Source organism: Homo sapiens, chromosome 20, assembly GCF_000001405.40.
Source record: "Homo sapiens chromosome 20, GRCh38.p14 Primary Assembly".
Taxonomy (NCBI): Eukaryota; Metazoa; Chordata; class Mammalia; order Primates; family Hominidae; genus Homo; species Homo sapiens.
The window spans coordinates 21,218,559-21,241,588 of NC_000020.11; the positions used below are offsets into that span (position 1 = coordinate 21,218,559).

A 23,030-nucleotide genomic window follows, 5' to 3' on the forward strand; every position below is an offset into this window, starting at 1 on the left:
GAAAAGACTTTCAGCAAAGGAATTGTTTAAAAATGTGAGCCTAGAGTTTCAGATAACTTATCATTTATTTGAAAATGGAATTCTTTCTGTTAATAGCCAACAGAATTAATGTTCTGTGGAACATACTTTGTGAAACATACACACATGTATGTGGAACACTTTTAAAGCAGTGAGTCCAATGTGGGCACCAGTTTCCTCAATATGCTAAAATTATCTTCAGCATTTTTCTGTGATTTCATTTTGTGGGGAGCTCCCTTGTGCGTGAGATTGCTTTATAATGAGATTTTGGGCTACCTTAGTGTAACTACACCCAGATGTTATGACTGACAGCTGCTTGTTACAGCTGTTCCTTGAATTGACAGTAAGGTTACAATAGTAATTTTAGGCGCCCAGAAGTGCTATTCTTCAGTGTGGGATCCTTCTGTGCGTCTTTATTTGCTTTTCAGCCATTTCAGAAGAAGTATAAGAGAAGACGTGGCTGAGGTGAAATCTGGGAAGTCACAAGAGGTTGGGGGTGGGAAGCTGTGAAGTCATACCTTTATCAGAATGAGGGGGTCCTGGGGATGTTTAACCTGAGAAGGGCACAGTAGCTCTTTAAATATTTGAGGAGCTGCCATATACCAGGTAGAATATTTATCGAGCTTAATTATAGAGCGTAGCTCAGTAACAAAACAACTTTCTAGCTCTTCATTTCAGCAAAACCAAGTTCAGTATCTTCCAGGGGTGAGTGCTTGAACCATGGCAGGAACCATGACTTTTTTTTTTTCTTTTGAAACAGGGTCAGGGTCTTGCTCTGTCACCCAGGCTGGAGTGCATTGTTGTGATCACAGCTTTTTGCAGCCTCTATCTCCTGGGCTCAAGTGATCTTCCTTCCTCAGCCTCCCAAGTAGCTGGGACTACAGGCATGCACCACCATGCCTGGCTAATTTTTGTATTTGTTATAGAGATGGGGTTTCACCATGTTGCCCAGGCTGGTCTCCAACTCCCGACCTCAAGCAGTCTGCCCACTTTGGCCTCCCAGAGTTCTGGGATTATAGGCATGAGCCACCTTGCCTGGCCCTGTGGCTCTTTAAAAGAGCATTGTGGAAGGAATTATTGCTTCTGTGACCCCTGACATTCCTTCTAATGCCAAGGGACTGTGCTTCTTCCTCTATGCTAATGGAATCCAGTGTGCCAGCATTCTCATCTCTTCATTTCCCTTTCTCATTTGCTTATCACCACAAAACGGAGGTCTTCTTGGCTGGGGCTCCTCCTTAAAGAGTCTGCTATCACTTTGAAGGCATCTGCTTTGCTAATCGTTATTATGGAGCATGCGAGTTTTCTGTGTTTAGATTTACATAGAAACCCTCCTGGGCACACACTGATGCCCCACCCACAAACACAGAGTCAGTATTCCATAGCCTGTATGATCTGTTGTTGTGAATATAATCTACCCCTTTTATTAGTCTAGTTGTTGTTCACTAAAGAATCCAGGTGGAAATCAAAGATGAATTTTTATATCTATAAATGTATGGTTTTCTGTATATAATAAGTAGTATATAATTAGATGTATTGATACAATATATATTAGTTATATATTATATATCATATATCATTATAGATGATTATATATAAAATCCTTAATTATATTAGTTAATAAAATTAATATTTTTACGTGGGCTGAATCCTGGGATACCAGAAACCACAAAAGATGGTATCCCTGCCCTCACTAAGCCTCCCTCATCTCTAACCTTTACAACAGTCCTATAGGGTAAACATTAGTACTCACCCTACAAGTGGTCAGACAGAAACTTAGAAAGGTATCCTGCTCAAGGCCATGTAGCTGGTGTGTTTGATCTTGAATTGAACTCAGACTTTAGGATTTGGGCTCTTGAACTCCTTCCATTTCACTGCCCTGCCTCTTTTATTTATTTTGTTTTTTTATTATTTATTTATTTATTTTTGAGACAGAGTCTCACTCCATCACCCAGGCTGGAGTGCGGTGGCACGATCTTGGCTCAGTGCAACCTCTGCCTCCCGGGTTCAAGCGATTCTCGTGCCACAGCCTCCTGAGTAGCTGGGATTACAGGCATGTTCCACCAAGCCTGGCTAATTTTGTATTCTTAATAGAGACGGTTTTGCCCCGTTTGCCAGGCTGTACTCGCATCCTGGCCTAAAGATACCCACCCACCTTGGCCTCCCAAAGTGCTGGGATTACAGGCGTGAGCCGCCACGCCCGGCCTACCCTGCCTTTTTTATTTTACCAAAAAGACAACTGCATCAGGATGTCCGGATCAATTAAACATCAGTGTACATCATAACAGAAGATGGGCTTTGCAAGGCTGCTTCTGAGAGCAATGATAAACAAAGCTTGCCTTTCCTTTCTCTTGGGTTAGGCCTGGAGAGGTGGGCAGCATGCAAGGATTTTCAAATGCAGCTCATCCCGAGAGGCAGGCCTTTTATAAAGTGGGGCAAACCTGAGCCCAGCTGGGCTGCTGGGAGGTCGGTTTCCCTGAAACACTTCCTGACCTACTATGTAGGTCAGTTTGCCTGAAACACTCAGGCCATGAGGAAAGTGATGCTTATCTAGATTGGGAGAGAAAGTCTGCCTTTTGAACTACTTACATCCGCAAAGTGAAAATTTCCCACATTGACAATTTTATTTGTATTCACACTAAATTTACCTTTCAGCATTAAGTGAGTTTTAGCTTTAGCAGATGATGCAGCTATGCTAAATGTCATAAAAATACAGCACCTAGCACAGTATCTGGCACAGAGTGGGCACTTAATTTGTCAAATGAATAAAAATGGGGATATTAAGGAATTTTCTTAAATGCTTGATGATTCAGGATAGAATACTATCTCTTTCAGTCATGCACTCCACCAATACTTTTCCCACCCCACGTGCCCATCCTGGCAAAACTAGTCTCCTTAAGCTCCATGTGAAAAGGGCTCTCAGCTTTTATCTCAAGAGGATTAAGCCTCTAAGAATGTCCATTCAGACTCTCATTCTTTTGACACCAATTCTCTTGGTCAAGCTGTGTTGAAAGTGGTTGCCTGACTGTGCCATTCCTCGTGGATATTCTTTGGCAAGCTGAAATATGCAGGGTAATACTAAGACATCCATTTAGAGTCTTTCCAGGAGGTCAGTATAGATTTGGAGGGTGCCACTTGGAGTTCTAGGCAGTGCTTCCCAAAACATGATTGCTTGAGTTTTACATCAATTTGGAAAAGGGCTGGAAAGATATAGTGGCTAGGTTGTCACTGGTGACTGGATTTATCCTGGGAGGAAAGACTGTAGTGATGACTTTGGGCTCCCAAAGCACAGTGGCATAACACCACTAGTACTGAGGTTTTACCGAGAATGTGCTTCACCTGTCCTATCCCAAAGCATTTTCCTGACAAGACTCAGTCAAGACATATTACCTGTTGTGCCTGGAACGGGAAACCCCCAGCTTGTGCAAAACCAGGGGAACCACTGTGTGTTGCTGGATTGTCCATTGAAAGTCCACGTGGCCCTGTCTCTGTGCCAGGGGTCAGCCTGCTGGGGCTTCACCCATGGAGCCTGCTGCCTGCTACTTGCGGTAGCAAAACAGTCCTCATTATATTGCAGGGCAGTGCTGTTTATTTAACATGGTCATTAAAGGATAAAAGGTACTTTTCTGAAGGGTCTTCTGGACTGGATGCTTCTATATTCAGAGAGATGAACTCATAAATGCCAAGAGAAATTCTCCCCAGCGGTTCATGGTAGAATCCCATGTAGAGTTTTAGAACATACCCATGCCCCAGCCACACCCTTGTGCAATTATTTCTGAACCTCTGGGAGTGGCACCCAGGCATAAGTACTTTATAACACATCCAGATAACTTCTTAGGTTTGAGAACTGTGGAGCAGGGGTCTCAGTTCAAAAGAGCCCTTGTAGGTCCTGTTTTGAAGCACCCTCATTTTACACAGGAGACTCAGAGACAAAATCAGGCTTTAAATATTTTAATAAAATGAGGGGTTGGAGTGTATTATTTTCCTAGGGCTGTTGTAACAAAGTATCACAAACTTAAAACAACAGAAATGCATTCTCTCACAGTTCTGAGAGCTAGAAGTCTGAAATCCAGGCGTCAGCAGGGCCCTTGCCTCTGAAGGTGCTAGCCAGTGGCTCCTGGCTTGTGGGAGTATAAGCCCTGTCTCTGCCTCTGTCTTCACTTGGCCTTCTCTTCTGTGTCTCTGTGTCTGCTCTTCTTCTTAGAAGAACATCAGAAATTGGATTTAGGGGCCACTGTAAATGCAGAATGATTTCATCTAGGGAACCTTAACTAATATATCTGTAAAGAACCTATTTCCAAATAAGGTCACGTTCTGAGGTTCTGGGAGGACATGAGTTTGTCGGGTTGAGGGGAACAACATTATTCAACCAACTACAGGGAATGAGGAAGGACTTCTTCATATTTTACATTTTTAGCATCCAGTTCATCTTCTACAGTAATTATTCCTGAACCTACTATAAATAATGGTAAAGATAAGATTGCCATTTCTAATTTCTCTCATTAAATAAATCATTGAGTACAAATGGCTAAAATATACTGTTTTTTAAAAAGCTATTTAAATCAATAAAATACAGCTTTCTGATGAAGATTACTCAAGTTTTGAAAAGTTAAAGGTTTCCTGAGGTTGAGAGTTGAAAATCCACCTCTCACGACTGAACAGTGTTAAATGGCAAGACGCAAAAGTGTTTCAGCTCGTTTTGGGAATGTTGGTTAAAGGTCAGTTTCAAGCCTGGAATTTGTTTTCAGGTTTAATTGTTGAGTTGCCCCATAGAAGTTAAGACTATGATATAAATTTCTATTTTCTGAAGCAGCCCCAGACAACTCATCTGAATTAGGCGGGTCTCTTCTCGTGCATCAGCCGTCTTCCTGAGAGTGCAGAGAGCAACCTTGACAATGGAATTTGCAGGCCCAGGTCTACAGGTGGAGTGGAGTTTATTGCAGAAAGTCTGGATGTGAAAAGTGATTCTGGTTACGGACCCAAACTTGTGTATCTTCCTGCCTTTTTAAAAAAAAATTCCTAAATATATTTGATGACTTTTCTGTATTTTCAGAATTGCAAAAGCAGCCATATCCTATTTTCTCTCTCTCTCTTTTTTTTTTTTTTTTTTTTCAGAGATGGAGTCTTGCTCTCTCACCCAGGCTGGAGTGCAGTGATGTGATCTCGGCTAACTGCAGTCTCCACTTCCCAGGTTCAAGTGATTCTCATGCCTCAGCCTCCTGAGTAGCTAGGATTACAGGCGCCCGCCACCATGCCCAGCTAATTTTTGTATTTTTGTATTTATAGTAGAGACGGGGTTTCACCATGTTGGTCAGGCTGGTCTTGAACTCCTGACCTCAAGTGATCCACCCACCTTAGCCTCCCAGAGTGCTGGGATTACAGGCGTGAGCCACTGCACCCGGCCTTATTTCCTTATTTTTTATTTATTTATTTTTTTGAGATGGAGTTTTATTCTTGTTGCCCAGGCTGGAGTGCAATGGCGCGATCTCGGGTCACCGCAACCTCCGCCTCCCAGGTTCAAGCAGTTCTCCTGCCTCAACCTCCCGTGTAGCTGGGACTACAGGCACGCGCCACCATGCAGTGGTGCAGATAACAGCGTTTCTCCATTTTGGTCAGGCTGGTCTTGAACTCCCGACCTCAGGTGATCTGCCCGCCTCAGCCTCCCTAAGTGCTGGGATTACAGGCTTGAGCCACCCCGCCCGGCCCTTATTTTTATTTAAGCAGATTACTAGGCAAATGATTTCTGGATTCTCAGTGATAATATTTATCTTTTGAAGTAACTTAAGAAATATATCTCACAATTTTTATTTTATTTTGCAAAAATGACCAAGTTTGCAGTGTCAGCAACACACCTAGTACAATTTGAAAAAGCACTTAGGTGTAGAAATATGTGAAAAGTAACAATGCTGAGAAATTCAGTGGACAGAGAATATTTTTCAGATTTCATTTTAACTTCATATAGAAATAGCAGTTATCCTTCCTTACTCAAACATACCCAGTTCTCTGTTGGTTCAAGGTCGGTTTTTTAGCTGTAGTGATAGTATTGTTTGCATCTCCCTTTGTTGTTTTTTTCTGAGCCCAACTCTTCTTTTTTTCATTAAGGATTTCTGCAAAAGCAATGGGCAGATTCCCTGCCTCCAAGACACCCCTTAGAGACTGGTGAACCACGTGTTTGTCTGGCTCTTGTAATGGGGTGTTAAAAGCACTTGTTCATCAGATATTTTCTTTTTATTTGTAGATTTAGAAGTATTTTAGCAGGTGTACATTTGCATATAAAAGAGAAAAAAGATAAGAAGTTGAGGCTTTTTCTTTCTCCTCTCCTTAACATCATCTCTCTCCCACCTCTTTATTCAGCATGTTTTCACTTTCTTTCTGTAGCTGTTTCTATTTTCTATACACAAAACGCATATCAAAAAGAAAAAAAAACAGTCTCAGCAATCCTTCAGCACTTTGCAGAAAGATAGATGATTGGGTTCAGGCAGCTTATGTAACAAAGTAAGGGAAAATACATTTATCTCATGTCATCAGTCAGGAGTGAATAGACAAGGATAGATTTTCACCTTCTGGAGCTGTAGACTGCATGAGATGGCCCCCCTTGCCTTGCCTTACATTTTAAACTACAATATTTTCTACTTTTTAAACTAAATCTTGACGCAGATTTGAGTATATAATCAATGCTTGAACGAAAGATTCAGAACCGAAACCTTGAGCATGCGTGTGTGTTTGTTTCTGTGTGTATCAGAACATTCCAACCGAAAATGATTGTATTCTTTAGAAATGCTTGTTTTATCTAAACATTTTCACTACTCAGTATTTTCTGAGAGTTTAACTTTACTAATGGGGGGAAGTGTTTCCCTGGATTTCTAAGTCAGGCTAGAAAGTGAAACCTTTAAAGCAACCACCCAATCCTCAAATTTTCAGACTTACAGTTTACTTGCAGCTGAGAAAACTAAATTCTTTTCACCTTGGAAATATATCGACTTTGTCCCTACCTTGTTTGTAACAGACTAACTTGAACTTCTAGAGTCATTACTTTTGCTCCTTTATTTGTTCATTCATTTAATAACTATGAATTTGCAGAGCAGCAACAAAGTGGAGCTTTTAACTGATTGGTTCATCACTGTCTTTCTTCCTTCTAAAAAAATCCTGGGCCTGAATTGCCACACACCTCATGTCCATAACTTTACACTCTTGCTTCATGAAACTAGCATCCTGGCCAAGTCTTCTGGGCTGTTTCAGGAGGATGTCTGATTTGTTTGAGAACTCCTAGAAAAAGTACACTCTTGCCTCCAGTCTGAAACCTGGTCTGTTTGATACAGACAGCCCCTTAAAAATCTTCATACAGCTGATGCATCCTCCCTGGGTAACATGTTCCAACAACCCTTTCAACAAGAAAGCTTTTCCTAACATCTAGCTTGTATTCTTTGGCTGCAGTTTTTCCCTAAGTGTTCTTGTACCACTTTCAGTGAACACAAAAAGTTGCTCACTACCATCTAGTTTGGAGGCTACAAATATGTTCTGTTTTGTCTGTGCAGTGTTTTATTTTTAAAAAGAAGAAAGAAAAGGCAGAAGTCTGGCAAGACCAGGACCACTTTCCCACCAGGCAGCAATTGGCTGAAGCCAAGGAGCAGCTGTGCTCTATAGACAAGTCATGTGCCTCCTTGCCTGCTACAGGGCAGGCCCTTCCTGCTGCTCCTGCCTGGCCATAGTCACTTATTGGAGGTACTTGCTTGGTTGGCCCTAGAGGCATCTGGATCCACAATGCCCACCCTGTCCAGTCTGTTTGCAATATCTGAACTTTCCTTCCCTTCTCCAACCTTGTTCTATGCAGACTATGTATTCTTTAATCACTTCTAATTTGTTTTAGCCAACCCTTATTAATTTTGTTTTTCCTGTGTAGATCATCTCTCAGTCTTTCATAAATAGTTTGTGCAACAATTCTGACTAAATAGGGGGGTGATGCATAGGGAGAGCGACTCCATCTCCCATGCATCTGATCCACAGTTGGGCGGCAGCAGTGCTAGGCGCTCTGCCCTCTCCCGCAACTTTGACGTCTGTGGTCCTGCCTCAGTGAGTGTCATTCCTCTGGGTGAATGCACTTCATCTTTGTACCTTTTAAACTTCACTTTGCCTTTAGACCATTGGAGGGAATCACACTGGGATTGGGGGTGAGTGATGTGCCCAGCAGTCCTCAGCCTGATCTCGCCAGCCCTTTAGGACTCAGGTCAGGGCAGCTGCATCCCAAATAAAAACTGCCCAGGTGGGCCTCGGTGACTCTCCTTGGAGAAGGGCCACAGAGGCTTAAGGATGAAACACCAGTGAGGTGATTGGGAAGTGGTGGGCTCTGGTTGCGTGGGGCAGGAGAGTGAGCCATCTCAGGATGGGTGGTTAGCCAAAAGCTCCTGAGCCCACACTCTTCAGGAAGGAAGGGAGGGGGACCAGAATGGAAAGTGTGGAGCATAGAAAGGGCTCATCTTTTCCAGAGTATCAAAATGGTCCCTTGTTGCTAGAAGTGATCTCACTTCACATTGGTAATTTCCTCCCTTGCTAACTTCAAACCAGTAATACTATCAGCCCTTCTCCTGTTTGGGCAGAATGCTTAATCCCCCCCAAATCTGAAATTACCTCAGGACTACTAGCTTGATATTTCTCACAGAAATCCCCTTCTGATTGCCAGTGACACGTTTTCCTGGTTTCTGAGAAGCAGGAGAGCCGTCTCACTGGAGTCAAGTGATTTACCTTCAGACAATGGAGAAATGAATTTGCAGCATGCCGCTCCAGCTTCCAGTGGCCAGGAGGCTTTGTTTATCAAGAAGCTGCTCCTTTTTTTTCAAATTTCCATCTTTGCTATCTTTTCCTTGACGAAATAAGTTTAATTGAATGTAGAAATAACGTGGTCATTAAGATCTGGACTTGTATCTTGAGAGCTGAAAAACTTTTTGGTTGATTTTTATAAAATAAAAACAAAACAGGGCATTTTTACCTCTTTTACACTGACTCCTTACCTTTAGAATTCAGACACTCTGTCTTTGATTTTATTAATATTATCCCTCTTTCACAGTTACCTTACAGTATATTTGAAGTAACATGGATGTTAGGATTAGCCGGAGGTCATCACAACACCATCCCATTGGAGCCATCCTAGGACAATGCGACCAGCCTCATCAGGAAACACTTTCGTCCCAGCGACCCCCACACATACACACATTACACAAAACAGTACTTTCCCCTCTGTATGCACTGTGTCTGATGTTTTCTTTATCAGATTTTTCAAAATACTAGTTTCAGCGACCTAAACTGATTTCACAATCCAGCAATGTTAAAAAAGTGTTGCCTTAGAATTTATTATATTCAGAGCAAAGAATCCCTGATCTGTATATATTTTAATTATATACTATTTAATATTCCAAAGTATAATGTTCATTTTAAATACTCATTTTTATCTTGACTGATTTTCAGTAGGGCAAGGTAAGTTGTATTTTTATTCTTCAGTGTGATGGTAGTTTTAATCCAGTAATAGGGTCTCATGGTTAAGTTCTTAAATGAAGCCAGCAAAAGCAGGAATCCAACCTGTTGCCAGCCCCTAGCATTGACAGTGGGACTCCTTTTGTGTTACATTGAAGATGCAGACATGGATGCTGTTTTGTTATGTCTGTGCTGAAACTCTGATTCTTCATCCTGCATTTCATCTGGGTGCCCTTGAAACTTAGAGTAATGGGGAAGGTTGTGTCACTCAGGTTCTTTACGTATTTTTGTTTACTGTTTTTCCCAACAGTCTTCCCCAATTTCACTTATAGCAGATGCCATTAGAAGCCCTGCATGGCCAAGAGCATCCTATGAACATGAGCAGGTGCAGGCTGCCACTGATCCCTGTGGACACCTGGCTTTGCTCTCTACAAACCCGTTCTCGCTCCTTCCCCATGGCAAGACTTGGTTAGATTTCCTCAGCTTTGGGACTCTGAGCTCATCCAGCTGTCACCACCCTTCCTGACCCTCTCCCCATTCCCCCAGCCCTGTCCCAGAGCCCCTGCACTTGAGTGTGAGAGCCCAAGAGCCAGAGCAAAGAGAGTTTCTAAGTGACCTGACCACCTAGGAAGACTTGCTTTCTCTTCTGGTTCATTCCCGTAGCTGTCTCTACAAGGCCCCGAGGGAAGTGAAACTGTTTTGCTGTGATGGGGAACCTATCCACAGACCCACTCAAAATAATGACTGTGATTTGGCTGCCTCAAATAAACTCATACAGCTTGTCTTTGAGTCTTGAAACCCGGGTTCAACTAAATTGTTTTTTGTTTGTTTTCAGAATGTCTAAAAAGTGACAGTTCAAAAAATAATAATTTGCATGCATTTAAGAAGTGTTAATCTCATAGGAAGAATTTAAAAAGCTTCTTTCTGGCCAGTAAAAAATGTAATATTTCTGTGTTTTTCTTTAATCAACAGAAACAGAAGCCTATCAGTTGCTGAAGAAGGCCACCCTTCAGGATAATACAAATCAAACTGAAAACAGGTTTCAAAAGACAGATGCTTCTGTGTCACACTTGTCAGGTAAGTAAGAGCAGATGGCAGTGTCCAGGGGCCCAGAGTGGCAGGCAGGGCTGTGTTCGGGGAAGGGTGGTTATTCTTTATGAAGGTTTCTGGAGTTTGCTCTGTAACGAGCTGTCACCAGGACAGAATGAGCTAGTACTTTTTTATCCTTAGCAAATGGACATGTGGAAAAGCCCTTTTGTTGTGTCCTAGACATGTGCTGGCCAGCATGGCAATGGCCCTTCCAGGCCCTGGATTCTGCCAAGCATGTCATGATAGTGACTTGTCACCAGTGACCCTGAGAAGACACACCCAAATTCCTTCTCTTCCCCACAGCTACTAGTGTCTTAGTCATTCAGTGGGCAGTGTTGTACTGGGCTGCTTTCCCTCACCAGAATGTTGGGGGATTTTGAGTTCTTTTACTGAAAGGATTATAAATCCCAGGAATGCTAAATTTTATTATTTTATTTTATTTTATTTTATTTCATTTTATTTTATTGTGAGACAGGGTCTTGCTCTGTCTCCCAGGCTGGAGTGCAATGGCATGATGGCTTACTGAAGCCTCAACCTACCAATCTCAAGCAATCTTCCCTCCTCAGCCTCCCAAGTAGCTGGGACTACAGGTGCGCACCACCACACTCGGCTAATTTTTGTATTTTTTTGTAGAGGTAGGGTTTTGCCATGTTGCTCAGGCTGGTCTCAAACTCCTGGACTCAAGCGATCCACCTGCCTTGGTCTCCCAAAGTGTTGGGATTACAGGTGTGAGCCACCATGCCCAGTGAGGAAAGCTAAATTTTAAGCTTAATTATAGTTCCTTCAATTTAAGATTTTGTTTTAATTGTAATTTTTTTATACTTTGTTATTTGTATGTCTATTATTTTCAGTGGTTTTCCTTTCATTACACCAGTTTTTAGAGTATAAGTTACCTCAGTTTCCTTTGTGAGAGTAAATGGATTAATACAGAAGGAAATCCACATTAATGACTTTCTTAGCCACCATGCCATAATTTCATCTAGCAGAATGAACAGTGATTTCTAAATAGCATGTAATTCCCAGTCCATATTCAGATTTCCCAGTTGTCTCAAGGATGTCTTCTTCAACCAGGCACAGTGGCTCATGCCTGTAATCCCAGCATTTTGGGAGGCCAAGGTGAGAGAGCTGCTTGAGGCCAGGAGTGCGAGACCAGCCTGGGCAATATAGCAAGACACTGTTTTTACAAAAAATTTAAAAATTAGCCACACGTGTTAGCATCTTCCTATACTACCAGCTATTTAAGAGGCTAAGGTGGGAGGATCACTTGAGCCCAGAAGTTTGAGGCTGCAGCAAGCTATGATCACACCACTGCACTGGGCAACAGAGCAAGACCCTATCTAAAAAGGAAAACAAAAAATGTCTTTTTCAGACAGATATTTTCAAGGGACATACTTACAGTACATCAGACTTAGCTGTGTTTGGAGAGCTGATTCCTAGATAATATTAGTGGTTAAAGTCAGTTGCGGCAAAATTCAGTTATTTTGGTGGTATTGAGGATTTGGTGACCAATGCACATTAAGTGCCCAGCACAGTGCCTAATAGTGAAAAGCCCCCTGGGAGAGCCGGCCATTGTGGTGTTAGTGGTGATTTGAACTCAGCAAACATAAGACATTGTAGTTTATTGAGTTATAAAACAGGGCCTCTGTCCTGATGGAGGTTGTCGTCACTTGCAAACTCTTAACTGTTTGCTTTCCATGACCTTCTTCACATTTGAGTCATGGAATTTGAATCCAGAGGGATATTAGAAAGAATGTATTCAACACTCCCATTTTACAAATGAGGCCCCAGGAGAGTAACACCGTGCTCAGAGCCTTTCAGCTGGATAGCTGACACACACACTTTGGCAAGTGACTCCACACGTCTGTTTCTGGTAAGTGTTATTTTCAGTAGTTAATTGGACAAATGCAAAAGATGAGTAAATTTGGCTGGGCACTGTGGCTCACACCTGTAATCCCAGCACTTTGGGAAGCCAAGGGAGGCGGATCACCTGAGGTCAGGAGTTTAAGACCAGCCTGGCCAACATGGTGAAATCCTGTCTACTAAAAATACAAAAATTAGCCAGACATGGTGACAGGCGCCTCAGCTACTCAGGAGGCTGAGGCAGGAGAATGGCTTGAACCCAGGAGGCAGAGGTTGCAGTGAGCTGAGATCACACCACTGCACTCCAGCCTGGGTGACAGGGCCAGACCCTGTCTCAAAAAACAAACAAACAAAAAGATGAGTAAATTTGACATATAAGTTCTAGTCCCTTCGATGTGTATCAGAAATTATGGATTATGGTACTATTAATAACCTTGTACTTAATGCATTTTTATTAATTTATTCATAAGTGAAATGACACTCTAGGTTGTGTAGTCAAGCACCCCTAAATTCATTTCCCTTGCCCCATACTCAAAATTACACTACATGTTTTGCAAGATTCCAAATTTTCTGGCAGTAGAATCATGGAAGTGCTCCTGCCTATGTTTGCTGTCACTGTCATTGTAGTCAGATCCTTTGGCTGTGTTTTGTCTTTTACCCTTACTCTCATTCTGATCCTAAGGACTTATCTGAGCCCCAAAGAAAAGCAGAAAGTGGGCTGGGAGGGTGTAGGGCAGCTTCACAGTGTTGTTAGAAGTAGCAGGGATGGGAGGTGGTGGTGTACTCTGCACTCAAGAAGCCCACCCCACATCTAACTAATGAAGAAGCAGTGCATGTTTCACTTACTTCTGAGTCTTTGGACCTGAAGGAAAGCCACTTAAATAAACCTTGAGGCTTAGTTTTCATGTCTGAAAAGACCTCCTCCTGGTAAGCATGTGGACACCCTCTTTGGGCTGAATGTGGACACATTTTTAAAATAATCACTTTGCTGCAGAGTGTACATGCAAGCAGGCAGGTTACAGGTTAGAAACTCAGCAAATGCTTTTTGCAAAGATGCCCATGCATGCTGTATCTGTGATTTTGACTGCCAGTTAAGAAGCAGACCTGTAGCAGAAACATCCAAGGCTGAGAACTCCCAAGAGGCAAAGATCAGGGATTGCCCTGCAAACTGGGGGCATTGTGGGAATATCCAAGTCTCTGGCTCCAAAGAAAGAGGTGGAGTGTGCATCCTCCTCCTCAACCTTTAGAGGCTGGTAAAGAGTGGCCTTGATGATTTTCAGTGGAGATTCTTTCTCCTCTGTGGGATGGAAAATAGAGGATTTTACAGAGGGGCTTAAGAGTGGATAAGGTGGGTGACTGTTATCCATGGGTCTCAATTATTTCTGAGCCCTGGTTTGCTGCCCGTGTGTTATAACAATGGGAATTATCCAGTGCTTTGTGACACAGTAGAGATCCATATGCCTACATGTGCATCTTAGTCATTTAAAATTGAACTCTTTGGATGATTTCAGTTTTCACTTTTTGTGGCTTGTGTTTCGGTATCACAGGAAAGTGCCTCACTCCCTTTCGGTATTCTACCAGCATTTCATTCTCTGCCTCAGAAGCTCCCTTGCCTTCTGTGGCTTGAACAGCATCTTCCTCTGTTGGCGTTTGTTTCACCAAACTTACTGTGAGGCCACTTTATTCATTTTGTCCCATGGCTGCATGACAGCTAACCCTCACTCTCCATGTTTACGCTTATCACAGGTTTGAATATTGGCAGCGGTGCATTCGAGACAAAGACAGCTAACAAAATTGCTTCGGAAGCTAGTTTTTCATCTAGTGAAGGAAGTCCTTTGTCAAGGTAAAGTTGTGAAAGCCTTTCTGAATAGCAGCAACAAGATGAGAAATGTCACAGCGCAATGAATTAAACTCTGGCTGCGTATTATTTTGTTGTATGACTTGGAGGGTTATGGTTTGGGTTTTTGTTTATCTAAAATAACAGTTGAAACTTTAGTCTACCTTTGAAAATATTTGCACCAGAGCCAAGTATTGTTTTGCAGCTGTTGTTTCCTTGGTTTAAGACTCAATTGACACCTCAGTGAACCACAAATTAGCGTCTACAGCTGCTCGCAGTAGGACTGCTTAGAGACCACACAATGGAGGTTGTCAGAAAAAGGGCAGAGAGAAAACATCAGGCCTTAAAAGAAATAAAGTGGCATGTTTCTTCTTTTTGTGATGGCTAATATATAAACTAGTAATTGCTGGATATTCATTTTTATTTTCCTCTTTTTTTTTAACCAAGTGTTTAGGCTAGGTTATTCTTTCCTTTTCTAATACTTTCTTGCTTATTTTCCATAAAGAACAAAATTTATCTTTTCACATTTGTCAAACTGTAGCACTCGCTTCTTGTAGGTTTTTTGAGCTGTGATAAGAGAGTTGTGTGCTGAATTTGTCATTAACATAAAATACTAATCACAGTAGCTTCAGGTCACTTAGAATTTATAGATGGGAATATAAGCCATCACCTGATGAAATACCCTACTCTTTTGCTTTGAGCTAAATATTGTTTAAAATGGCATAGCAACTTTCCTTTTGGAACAGCATTGCTCAGTAAAAAGGTGTCCTTCAGATGATTATATTACATTTGAATTAACTGCTTGTCTCTGATGAAATTTTAGAACAGGAACTTTACATTTCTAGTATAACATATAATGTTCCATAAGAGAAAATGATTTGAACCAGAAATGCTGAATTTTTTAAATGAAAAAAATCCTATTTTTATTCATATTTTATAAACAATACAATGTTTTTAGAACCTGGAGTATATTAAAATGAGATTGAATTTCTAAAATTATAAGTTTTAGAAACTTGACAAGTTAAGTTTTAGAGAAATAACTCATTTAATTTTCAGAAGTTATTATTTTTAATGCCTGAGTTTTCGTCCATATTTTTGAAGGAAGTGGGAGGTAAATGGGACAGGAAGAGTGTTAAAGTATTATGTTATTATGATTGTATTATAAATTCAAGTTCTAGGTCTCCTAAAAGAAAGTTTAAAAGACAGTAAATTCTACAGATAATTTTCAGGGCCGAATGTTACCATTTGGCTTAATAATATATAGAGGCACTAAAAAACTCACTTCTTCCTAAACAGTCTTTACGTAGGTTCTTTGGGAAATTTTTAAAGACATTGAGAAAGCAATTGGATTTTGTAAAACATTTCTCAGTCTAATAATTTCACATCTTGTCTATATTTTACTAAACTAAAATCAAGCATTTTCCTCCTTCAAATTGAGACAGAGGTATTTTGTTATTAGTATCGTTTCCGTATGAAATTAATTTCCTAATAAATTACAAGTAATCTCATCATCCCCTTTAAGAAAACAAAAAAAAAAACCACACAAAAAGGCCTTGAAGGAACTCTTGGTTCTAGGCACTTGATAATAATCCAGTGATGAAAAGGTCTGGGTCCAGAGTGCGTGGGTTTGGCGTGCTGTTTGTCACGGTTTGGTTCTTGTGCTGGGCTTGGTGTTGTTCATATGCCACCCTGGGCTTTGGAGAGCTCCAGTTTTGCTGTTTGTGCTGGATTCACTGAAATTTCTTAGAGGCTTACATTTAAGGATCCCACTTACTGCAGTCACTCCTTGTGCTTTATTGCTTTTACAAGTGGTCTCGAAACCCGGTACTTGAGAATAAACATAACAGTGCAGTGCTGCTGTAGCACTTTTAAAATTCTTCTTTGCTCTATTTTGTCAGTGAGCTGATGAGCAACCTCAAAAAAAGAAAAAAAAAAAACCCACTGGACCTAAAAAAAAAAAAAAAAAAAAATGGCTTCCTCTGATGTCCTAGAGACAATAATTATGATGTGCTAGTTAAGCCCAAACTACAGCTGAGGGATTTTACTTTAAAGCAGCGGCTTGGGCGCAAAAATGCATTTATAGCTCTTTGTCTGCACCTCATTATGTGTGGGCCTGATTCATTAAGTAATTGGTTTGCAGTTGTTTACATGAGTATTAAGGCCTTCTTTTCAGCCGCCTTTGAGAGATACATTGTGCAAATGTTGCCTGTGATGAATGCAGAATGAGGGCCAGAGGGTCCGTCCTATTGGCTAAACAGTGCACTCCTGTTGAAAAGCCAGAGAAAGGGATTGGGTGCTGCTTTGCATAGCAATGACTTTCTTAATAAGCGTTACAGATTAATACACACAAGCTATAAAAGATGCAAAGAGATACTCTTAGCACATTTATACATGCTCATTTCATTGTGATGGTGGTGGGGTTCGGGTGCTTTCATATTCCGTTTTTCAGAGCAGCAGCTTCAGTGCATGAGCCGTAATAGAATCCGATGTTTATTGTATTATAAATCACGGGCAAGTAGGCAGATTGGCAACAGTTTATTATTAAAGATTCTTTCAGTGTAAATCTTTTTCTACCATTGTATTTGCTTCAGCAAAATCATTTTGTGGTTGAGTGGGGATGAAAAGCATAATGTACGAAGGAGTGAGTCCTAATAGGAAGCCGTTCTCCAAGTAAAGACCACTTGTTCCCTTTTGTTCAGGGGTGCATGCCAGAGCTTCCTCTCCTCTGCAAACATTGTCTCGCTTTACCTTCCCCAGCAAGCGGTTTTCACTCTCCCGGATCCATTTGTTCAATGGAGAGTATATTTTAAAAGCCTGCCCTTAGCTTACTGGTTCCTGCCTTGTAACTTCAGCTTACTGGTTGGACCAGATAATGTTTTACCAAAAGGAAAGGGTGTGTGCTTGCAACATAATTGCCTGGGGGAAAGGTAGCAGAAGTCACCCCGCCACTGTACCCTGGCAGGGCCACCGTGGGTGGCATTCTGTGCCAGCCTTGCAGCCACCAGAGCGGCCAGTGGAGGGCGCCAGCCTGCAGCTGATGCTCTGATGGCGGTGGCATTTTCTGTCTTTGCCTGGTCACTGTGCCATTTTCCCCAGGATAACATAAAGATTATAAGGAACCAATAGTCCAGTGAAATAAAAATGAGTTTTTCCTGAAAGTCCTTTAGGTTCTTATATAAAAGCACTCTTCTCTGTCTTGGGTTTGGCACATCTCCATTCTTAAATTCCACTGAATTAGCAGCTTCCTAAATATGTCACGTTTCTTATCACAAGCCTACATACGTTGTTTTTTCTGCACAAAGCAAATAAGAACAATCGCTTGATTATTTGAAGAGAAAAAGTTAAGTTGACCTCAGGCAGCTGAAAGTGGCATCTTCTGTAGGAACCCCGATTAACCATCAGGGGGCGCTCAGACTTTGTTAAATTACTGGTAGGCCTTTAAAACCTAAAATTAGTGTTTACAGAGATTTGTTGGCATAGTCATTGGGATTTTTTTCTTTCTGGATTATTTTTTGCCTTCTGTTTTTCAGAAACATATGTCTGTTTTGAGGAACGTTCAAGCTGAAATTGCTCCTTTAGAAATTGTAATACTGATTTCCACTAGCAGTCAAAAATTATTACAAATTTTAGAATTTGGAGTCTAAAGACTATGTCTTATAATAAATTAGCTATTTTCAGCCTTCTAATAAGACTCCAGAACTGGAAGGATACTTCCTGCTGCCGGGAGCCATTCCTCCTTATCCTGGACATCATAGACAGTGCTCCTGGCAGGACCCTCTGAGTCTCATTGCCACACTCAATTGGTGAGGCCTCAGAGTCACAATAACTTGGGTATATTTGTTAATGGGCCATGGCTATTTTTTCTTTTTTTAAAAAAATGATATGACAGGCCAGGCGCAGTGGCTCATGCCTGTAATCCCAGCACTTTGGGAGGCCGAGGCAGGCAGATCACTTGAGGTCAGGAGTTCAAGACCAGCCTGGCCAACATGGTGAATATCCCTATCTTTACTAAAAATACAAAAAAAATTAGCCAGGTGTGGTGGTGTGCACCTGTAATCCCAGCTACTTGGGAGGATGAGGCAGGAGAATCGCATAAACCTGGGAGGCAGAACTTGCAGTGAGCTGAAATTGCACCAATGCACTCATCTGGGCAATGGAGCAAGACTCTGTTTAAAAAAAAAAAAAAAAAAATGATGGCTGGGTGCGGTGGCTCACACCTGTAATCCCAGTACTTTGGGAGGCCAAGGTGGGTGGACCGCCTGCAGTCAGGAGTTCGAGACCAGCATGGCCAACATGGCAAAACCCTATCTCTATTAAAAGTACAAAAATTAGCTAGACATGGTGGCAGGCGCCTATAATCCCAGCCACTCGGGAGGCTGAGGCAGGAGAATCGTTTGAACCCAGGAGGCAGAGGTTGCAGTGCATCGAGATCGTGCCACTACACTCCAGCCTGGGTGACAGAACAAAACTCCGTCTCAAAAAAAAAAAAAAAAAAAAATAGATATTGACCATGAAATCGAGTCAATGTGTTACTAACATTAGGTTTTCCCTCTGTTCTTTCCTCCAAATTCCACCCCCTGCTCCCGCCCTGGGCCAGGAATGAGTATCTGACACCCACCTCTGCTGCCACACACCTCTCAGGAGACCCTTGTTGCCTGCACCTCTGTCAAGCACGGGTAGTCTGCACACTGCACACCCTTCCCAGCCAGCTCCCCTTGTCCCCCTGCTGAAGAACAGTTAACAACCAGACCGCATGTCATGCCCGCGTATGACCCACTATTTCATGTCCCTGGATTTTATTGGAATGCTCTTGCCCCACTCTTTTACCTGGTTAAGGCCTTCTAGATTTTTCAAGGCTTAACCTTCTGAACGTTTCCTAAGCGGAGACCTGGCTGCACAGCATGCCCTTCCTGTGGTCCCCCTAGCTATTTCTGTTATCATCTGTAGTCAGGGCTAGAAGCCATTTCCCAGTACCCTCCCTCCCGCAGTGGGGCAGGCTTCGTTTCATTTATTTATTTATTTAGAGACAGGGTCTCGCTCTGTCACCCAGGCTGGAGTACAGTGACACGATCTCCGCTCACTGCAACCTTTGCCTCCCAGGCTCAAGCAACCCTCCCACCTCAGCCTCCCAAGTAGCTGAGACCACAGGCACATGCCACCATGCCTGGCTAATTTTTTGTGGTTTTGGTAGAGATGATGTTTCGCCATGTTGCCCAGGCTGGTCTTGAACTCCTGAGCTCAGGTGATCCACTCTCCTCGGCCTCCCAAAGTGCTGGGATTATAGGCGAGCCACCATGCCCAGCGGCAGGTTTCTTAATCACCAGTGCTGGATAGTCATTGTGCTTCCTGAGTGAGTAAGCATGGATATATAGCTCCACCATTCACTCTAGTTTGTTTTTTTTTTTTTTAAATAAAAGTCAGTTTGTACAAGTTCCCTCACTTCTGTATGGCATCATGTACTTGAGCTGCAGGGAATCATGCATTTCGTACAGTTATCTGCATAAGGGTGTGAGAGAGAGAGAGAGAGAGTGTGTGTGTGTGTGAGAGGGTGTGAGTGTGTGAGAGAGTGTGTGTGTGTGTGAATGTGTGTGTGGACACATACATTTTCAAAGGGAGACTGGTAATGACTGTGAATATGCCCTCTGCTCATGCATCCCCAGTTTCAGGAAGCAGGACCTGGGTGAACACACTTGCAGAGAGCCTCACTGGGGTTCTTTCCTGGCTGCTGTCTTGTCTGCTGATGGAAAGGTGTCTGGCTTCGGGCCCTGACCTTGATGAGAGCTCTTGGCACATGCTGGAGGCCTGGAATGTCATCCCACAGTTCCACTGTCATCAGTTCTCAGCCAACCCCACTGTTGCCTTTTCAGCCAATTTCATGGTGTTTATTCTGGTGTCAGTCTCCTCACCGGAGCGTGGGCACCTCAAGGGCATCGAGCGAGTCTGTCTTGTTTGCTGCTGCAGCCCCAGCACAGAGTCCGATGCCTTGCTCTGCCCCTGCTCTTGGAAGGCCTGGCTGAGGCAGTTTCCCTGTCTCTTCCCATTTCAAGGGCACCCACTCATCAGGTTCCTCGAGGAAGAAACTTCACGCATCTCAGGCCTGCCTTCCCTCCATCTGTCCCCAAACCTCCCATTCCTTGACCCCTGTGCCTAAGTACTCATCACTTCCACTTAGAACCCACGGCTGCACATCAGCAAACTGAGTACATGCTTTTGTTGATCCAAATGTGCTGACAGTGCAGTGGCACTGCTTACTGAAGTCTGCTGTCTGCAGGCTGTCACACAGGATTGTCTGTAAATTTATCAGAACACTTCCAGGAAGGCATTACTGTCCCCATTCTACAGACAAGAAAACTGGTGCTTGGAGAGGTAGGGAACTTGCCCAGGATCATGCAGTGAGCAGAGTCTTTCTGGCCCCAGAGCTGATTCTGTCTCAGCTTCTGAAAGCAGCTCACATAGCCAGGCACATGCTGTGGCAGGGTTCTCCCTGCCCTACTGTTTTACTGCTTCTCAGGAGGCCCTGTGGGGCGGGTGTCTACAACGTGTACATTTGTAGGAGTGTCCCAGGAGGAGCATTTTGTTCCACTTTTGCTCTACTGCTGGCTCGCTCTGTGTGTCTTAGGACACATCTCTTAACCTCTCTGGGCTCAACCACTGCACAGTGAAGGCTCTGGATTGATAATCTGTGAATGCTGTGTTCTAATTAAATAGTGGGTTTCTTGGCCTTGGGTATTCTGTGTCTCATTTTTGTCTTTACTTGTTGGCTCCACAAAGCAAAACCTATTGTCAGTAATTCTTACTAACTTTATATTGATGTTGACTGTGTAGACCAATTCTAGCTACGTTAGCCTTTTGTTCATATAAAATGAACAACTGACACGTAATTGTTACTGTTTTCCATAGTGCACTGTGTCATCCTGACTCCACGTATAGAGTGTTCACTGTGTGCCAGGGCTGCTCTCGGATAAAACCTATTCTGTTGAAGTCCTGGCTGGCCCTAACTTTTTAAGTTTAACAAGGTTGAGAACACAAGTGACTTTGATTAGCATTGTCCTAATCTGGTTTATCAGTAGCAGGGGAATTTATAAGCAGTTACCAAAATGCATCCAAAATAAGATGGCTTAATGGCTAGGCAGAGGGGAGAGATGTGATGAAGTCAGTACAGCAGAATGGTAACAAGTGAGCATCTCCCTAATGGGAATGGGACATTCCTGGTAGAGCTGGGAGAAAAAATGACCAAAGCTACTGGGAAATTCTGCAGAGATAATTGTCCCATTACTTTTTAATTAATTAAAACTAATTAATTAACTATTTTTTTTTTGAGACGGTGTCTCGCTCTGTCACCCAGGCTGGAGTGCAGTGGTGCAATGTCAGCTCACTGTAACCTCTGCCTCCAAGGTTCAAGCGATTCTTCTGCCTCAGCCTCCCAAGTAGCTGGGATTACAGGCACATAGCACCATGCCTGGCTAATTTTTGTATTATTAGTAGAGACAGGGTTTCACCATGTTGGCCAGGCTGATCTCGAACTCCTGACCTCAGGTGATCACCCGCCTCAGCCTCCCAAAGTGCTGGGCTTATGCCACCACACCCAGCCGATTGTCCCATTCAAATGAGACCGGCGGAACATGGTTATATTTTAATTTACTCAGTTAATCATCTGCAGTGTCTTGCCTGAAAATGGCTTATTTTGAAGTAGGACCTCCAGTCCAGTTGTAAACTTCTAGGGAAAAAATACCAAGTCTGCCCTCTGGGGTTCCAAGAGTCGCTCCTGAGCCATGGTGCGGGGGAAAGGCAGGCTCTCTGGCTTGCAGCATGGGCCTCATGTGAGGCAGTTCTTTACAACAATGGTGGCCCTTGGGCCGTGCCCAGGCCACTGCCTCAGTCCATACGGCCCGCAAGCTAAGAGTGGTTTTCACATTTTTAAATGGTTGGAAGAAAATTCAAAGAATAATGTTTCGTGACACCTGAAAGGTATATGAAATTCAAATTTCCGTGTCTATACGTGAAGTTTAATTGGAATACAGCCACATCTTTTAGTTTACAAATTGTCCATGGCTGTTTTTGTGCTACAAACACAGTTGAGTAGTTGCGGCAGACCATATGGCCCACAAAGCCTGAACTATTTACTCCCTGGTTCTTTACAGAAAACCTTTGCCAACGTCTGCCTTACAAGATGGAAACATTACTTCTACACTCTCAGCAAACATTACACAGTTAGATTCTGAGCACATAAGACCACATGGTGACCATATCTCATGGCCTACAACCTTAACTCTTTGATTTCTTTTACTTTCTGAAATGCAGTTTTGTTTTTCTTTCATCTACTCTAGTAGCCAAAGTAGTTGGCTCTATCCAGCACACAATAGAAAGTTCTCAGGCTTCTCCATCAGCCTTGCCTTAGCTTTACATATTAGGTATGACCTAGAGAAAAAAATGTTGGCCCCAAGAATTCTGTATAATAAAAAATCAACTATGAATTGCAGGGTCACATTTACTTTCAGAGATTTTCCCAAAAGGAAAAATAATTGCTCCTTAGATACGAGAGTGGAGAACAAAACACTGGAAAGTACGCTCTGCCCTTCTCCGTGGGTAGGCCACGCACCACGCACATTTAGCTCTGAAACATGTTTCCTGTGAGAAAACCAATCACACAGACAATTAAGAACGATTACACAATTAATTCACATTTCACTAGGATGTTTACTGGCTCCCTGCATTACACAATTAATTCACATTTCACTGGGATGTTTACTGGCTCCCTGTGGCT

At 42.6% G+C, this 23,030-nt stretch overlaps 1 protein-coding gene across 14 annotated transcripts in view, besides 2 other annotated features; it reads left to right on the plus strand.

Moving 5' to 3' along the window:
* The window catches only part of KIZ (kizuna centrosomal protein), a 120,648-nt gene that overhangs the window by 92,584 nt on the left and 5,034 nt on the right, over positions 1-23,030 (plus strand). For all 14 annotated transcript variants that reach the window (XR_937105.4, XR_001754334.3, XR_007067468.1 and 11 more), the window contains 2 exons: positions 10,453-10,557; positions 14,176-14,272. Coding sequence is in view for 11 of the 14 variants with exons in the window: in NM_001276389.2 (NP_001263318.1) it covers positions 10,453-10,557; positions 14,176-14,272 (202 nt within the window). In the remaining 3 variants the exon portion in view is untranslated. The remainder of the gene's footprint in view (positions 1-10,452; positions 10,558-14,175; positions 14,273-23,030) is intronic.
* Positions 5,571-6,084: an enhancer, noted in NCBI's record as "H3K4me1 hESC enhancer chr20:21204767-21205280 (GRCh37/hg19 assembly coordinates)". NCBI's record gives its function as "activates a minimal SCP1, AML or CMV promoter by ChIP-STARR-seq in naive H9 embryonic stem cells {active_cell/tissue: H9 hESC(naive)}" and the evidence as "EXISTENCE:reporter gene assay evidence [ECO:0000049][PMID:30033119]".
* Positions 15,594-18,036: an enhancer, noted in NCBI's record as "VISTA enhancer hs914". NCBI's record gives its function as "enhancer in: forebrain[9/10]" and the evidence as "EXISTENCE:transgenic organism evidence [ECO:0001131][PMID:17130149]".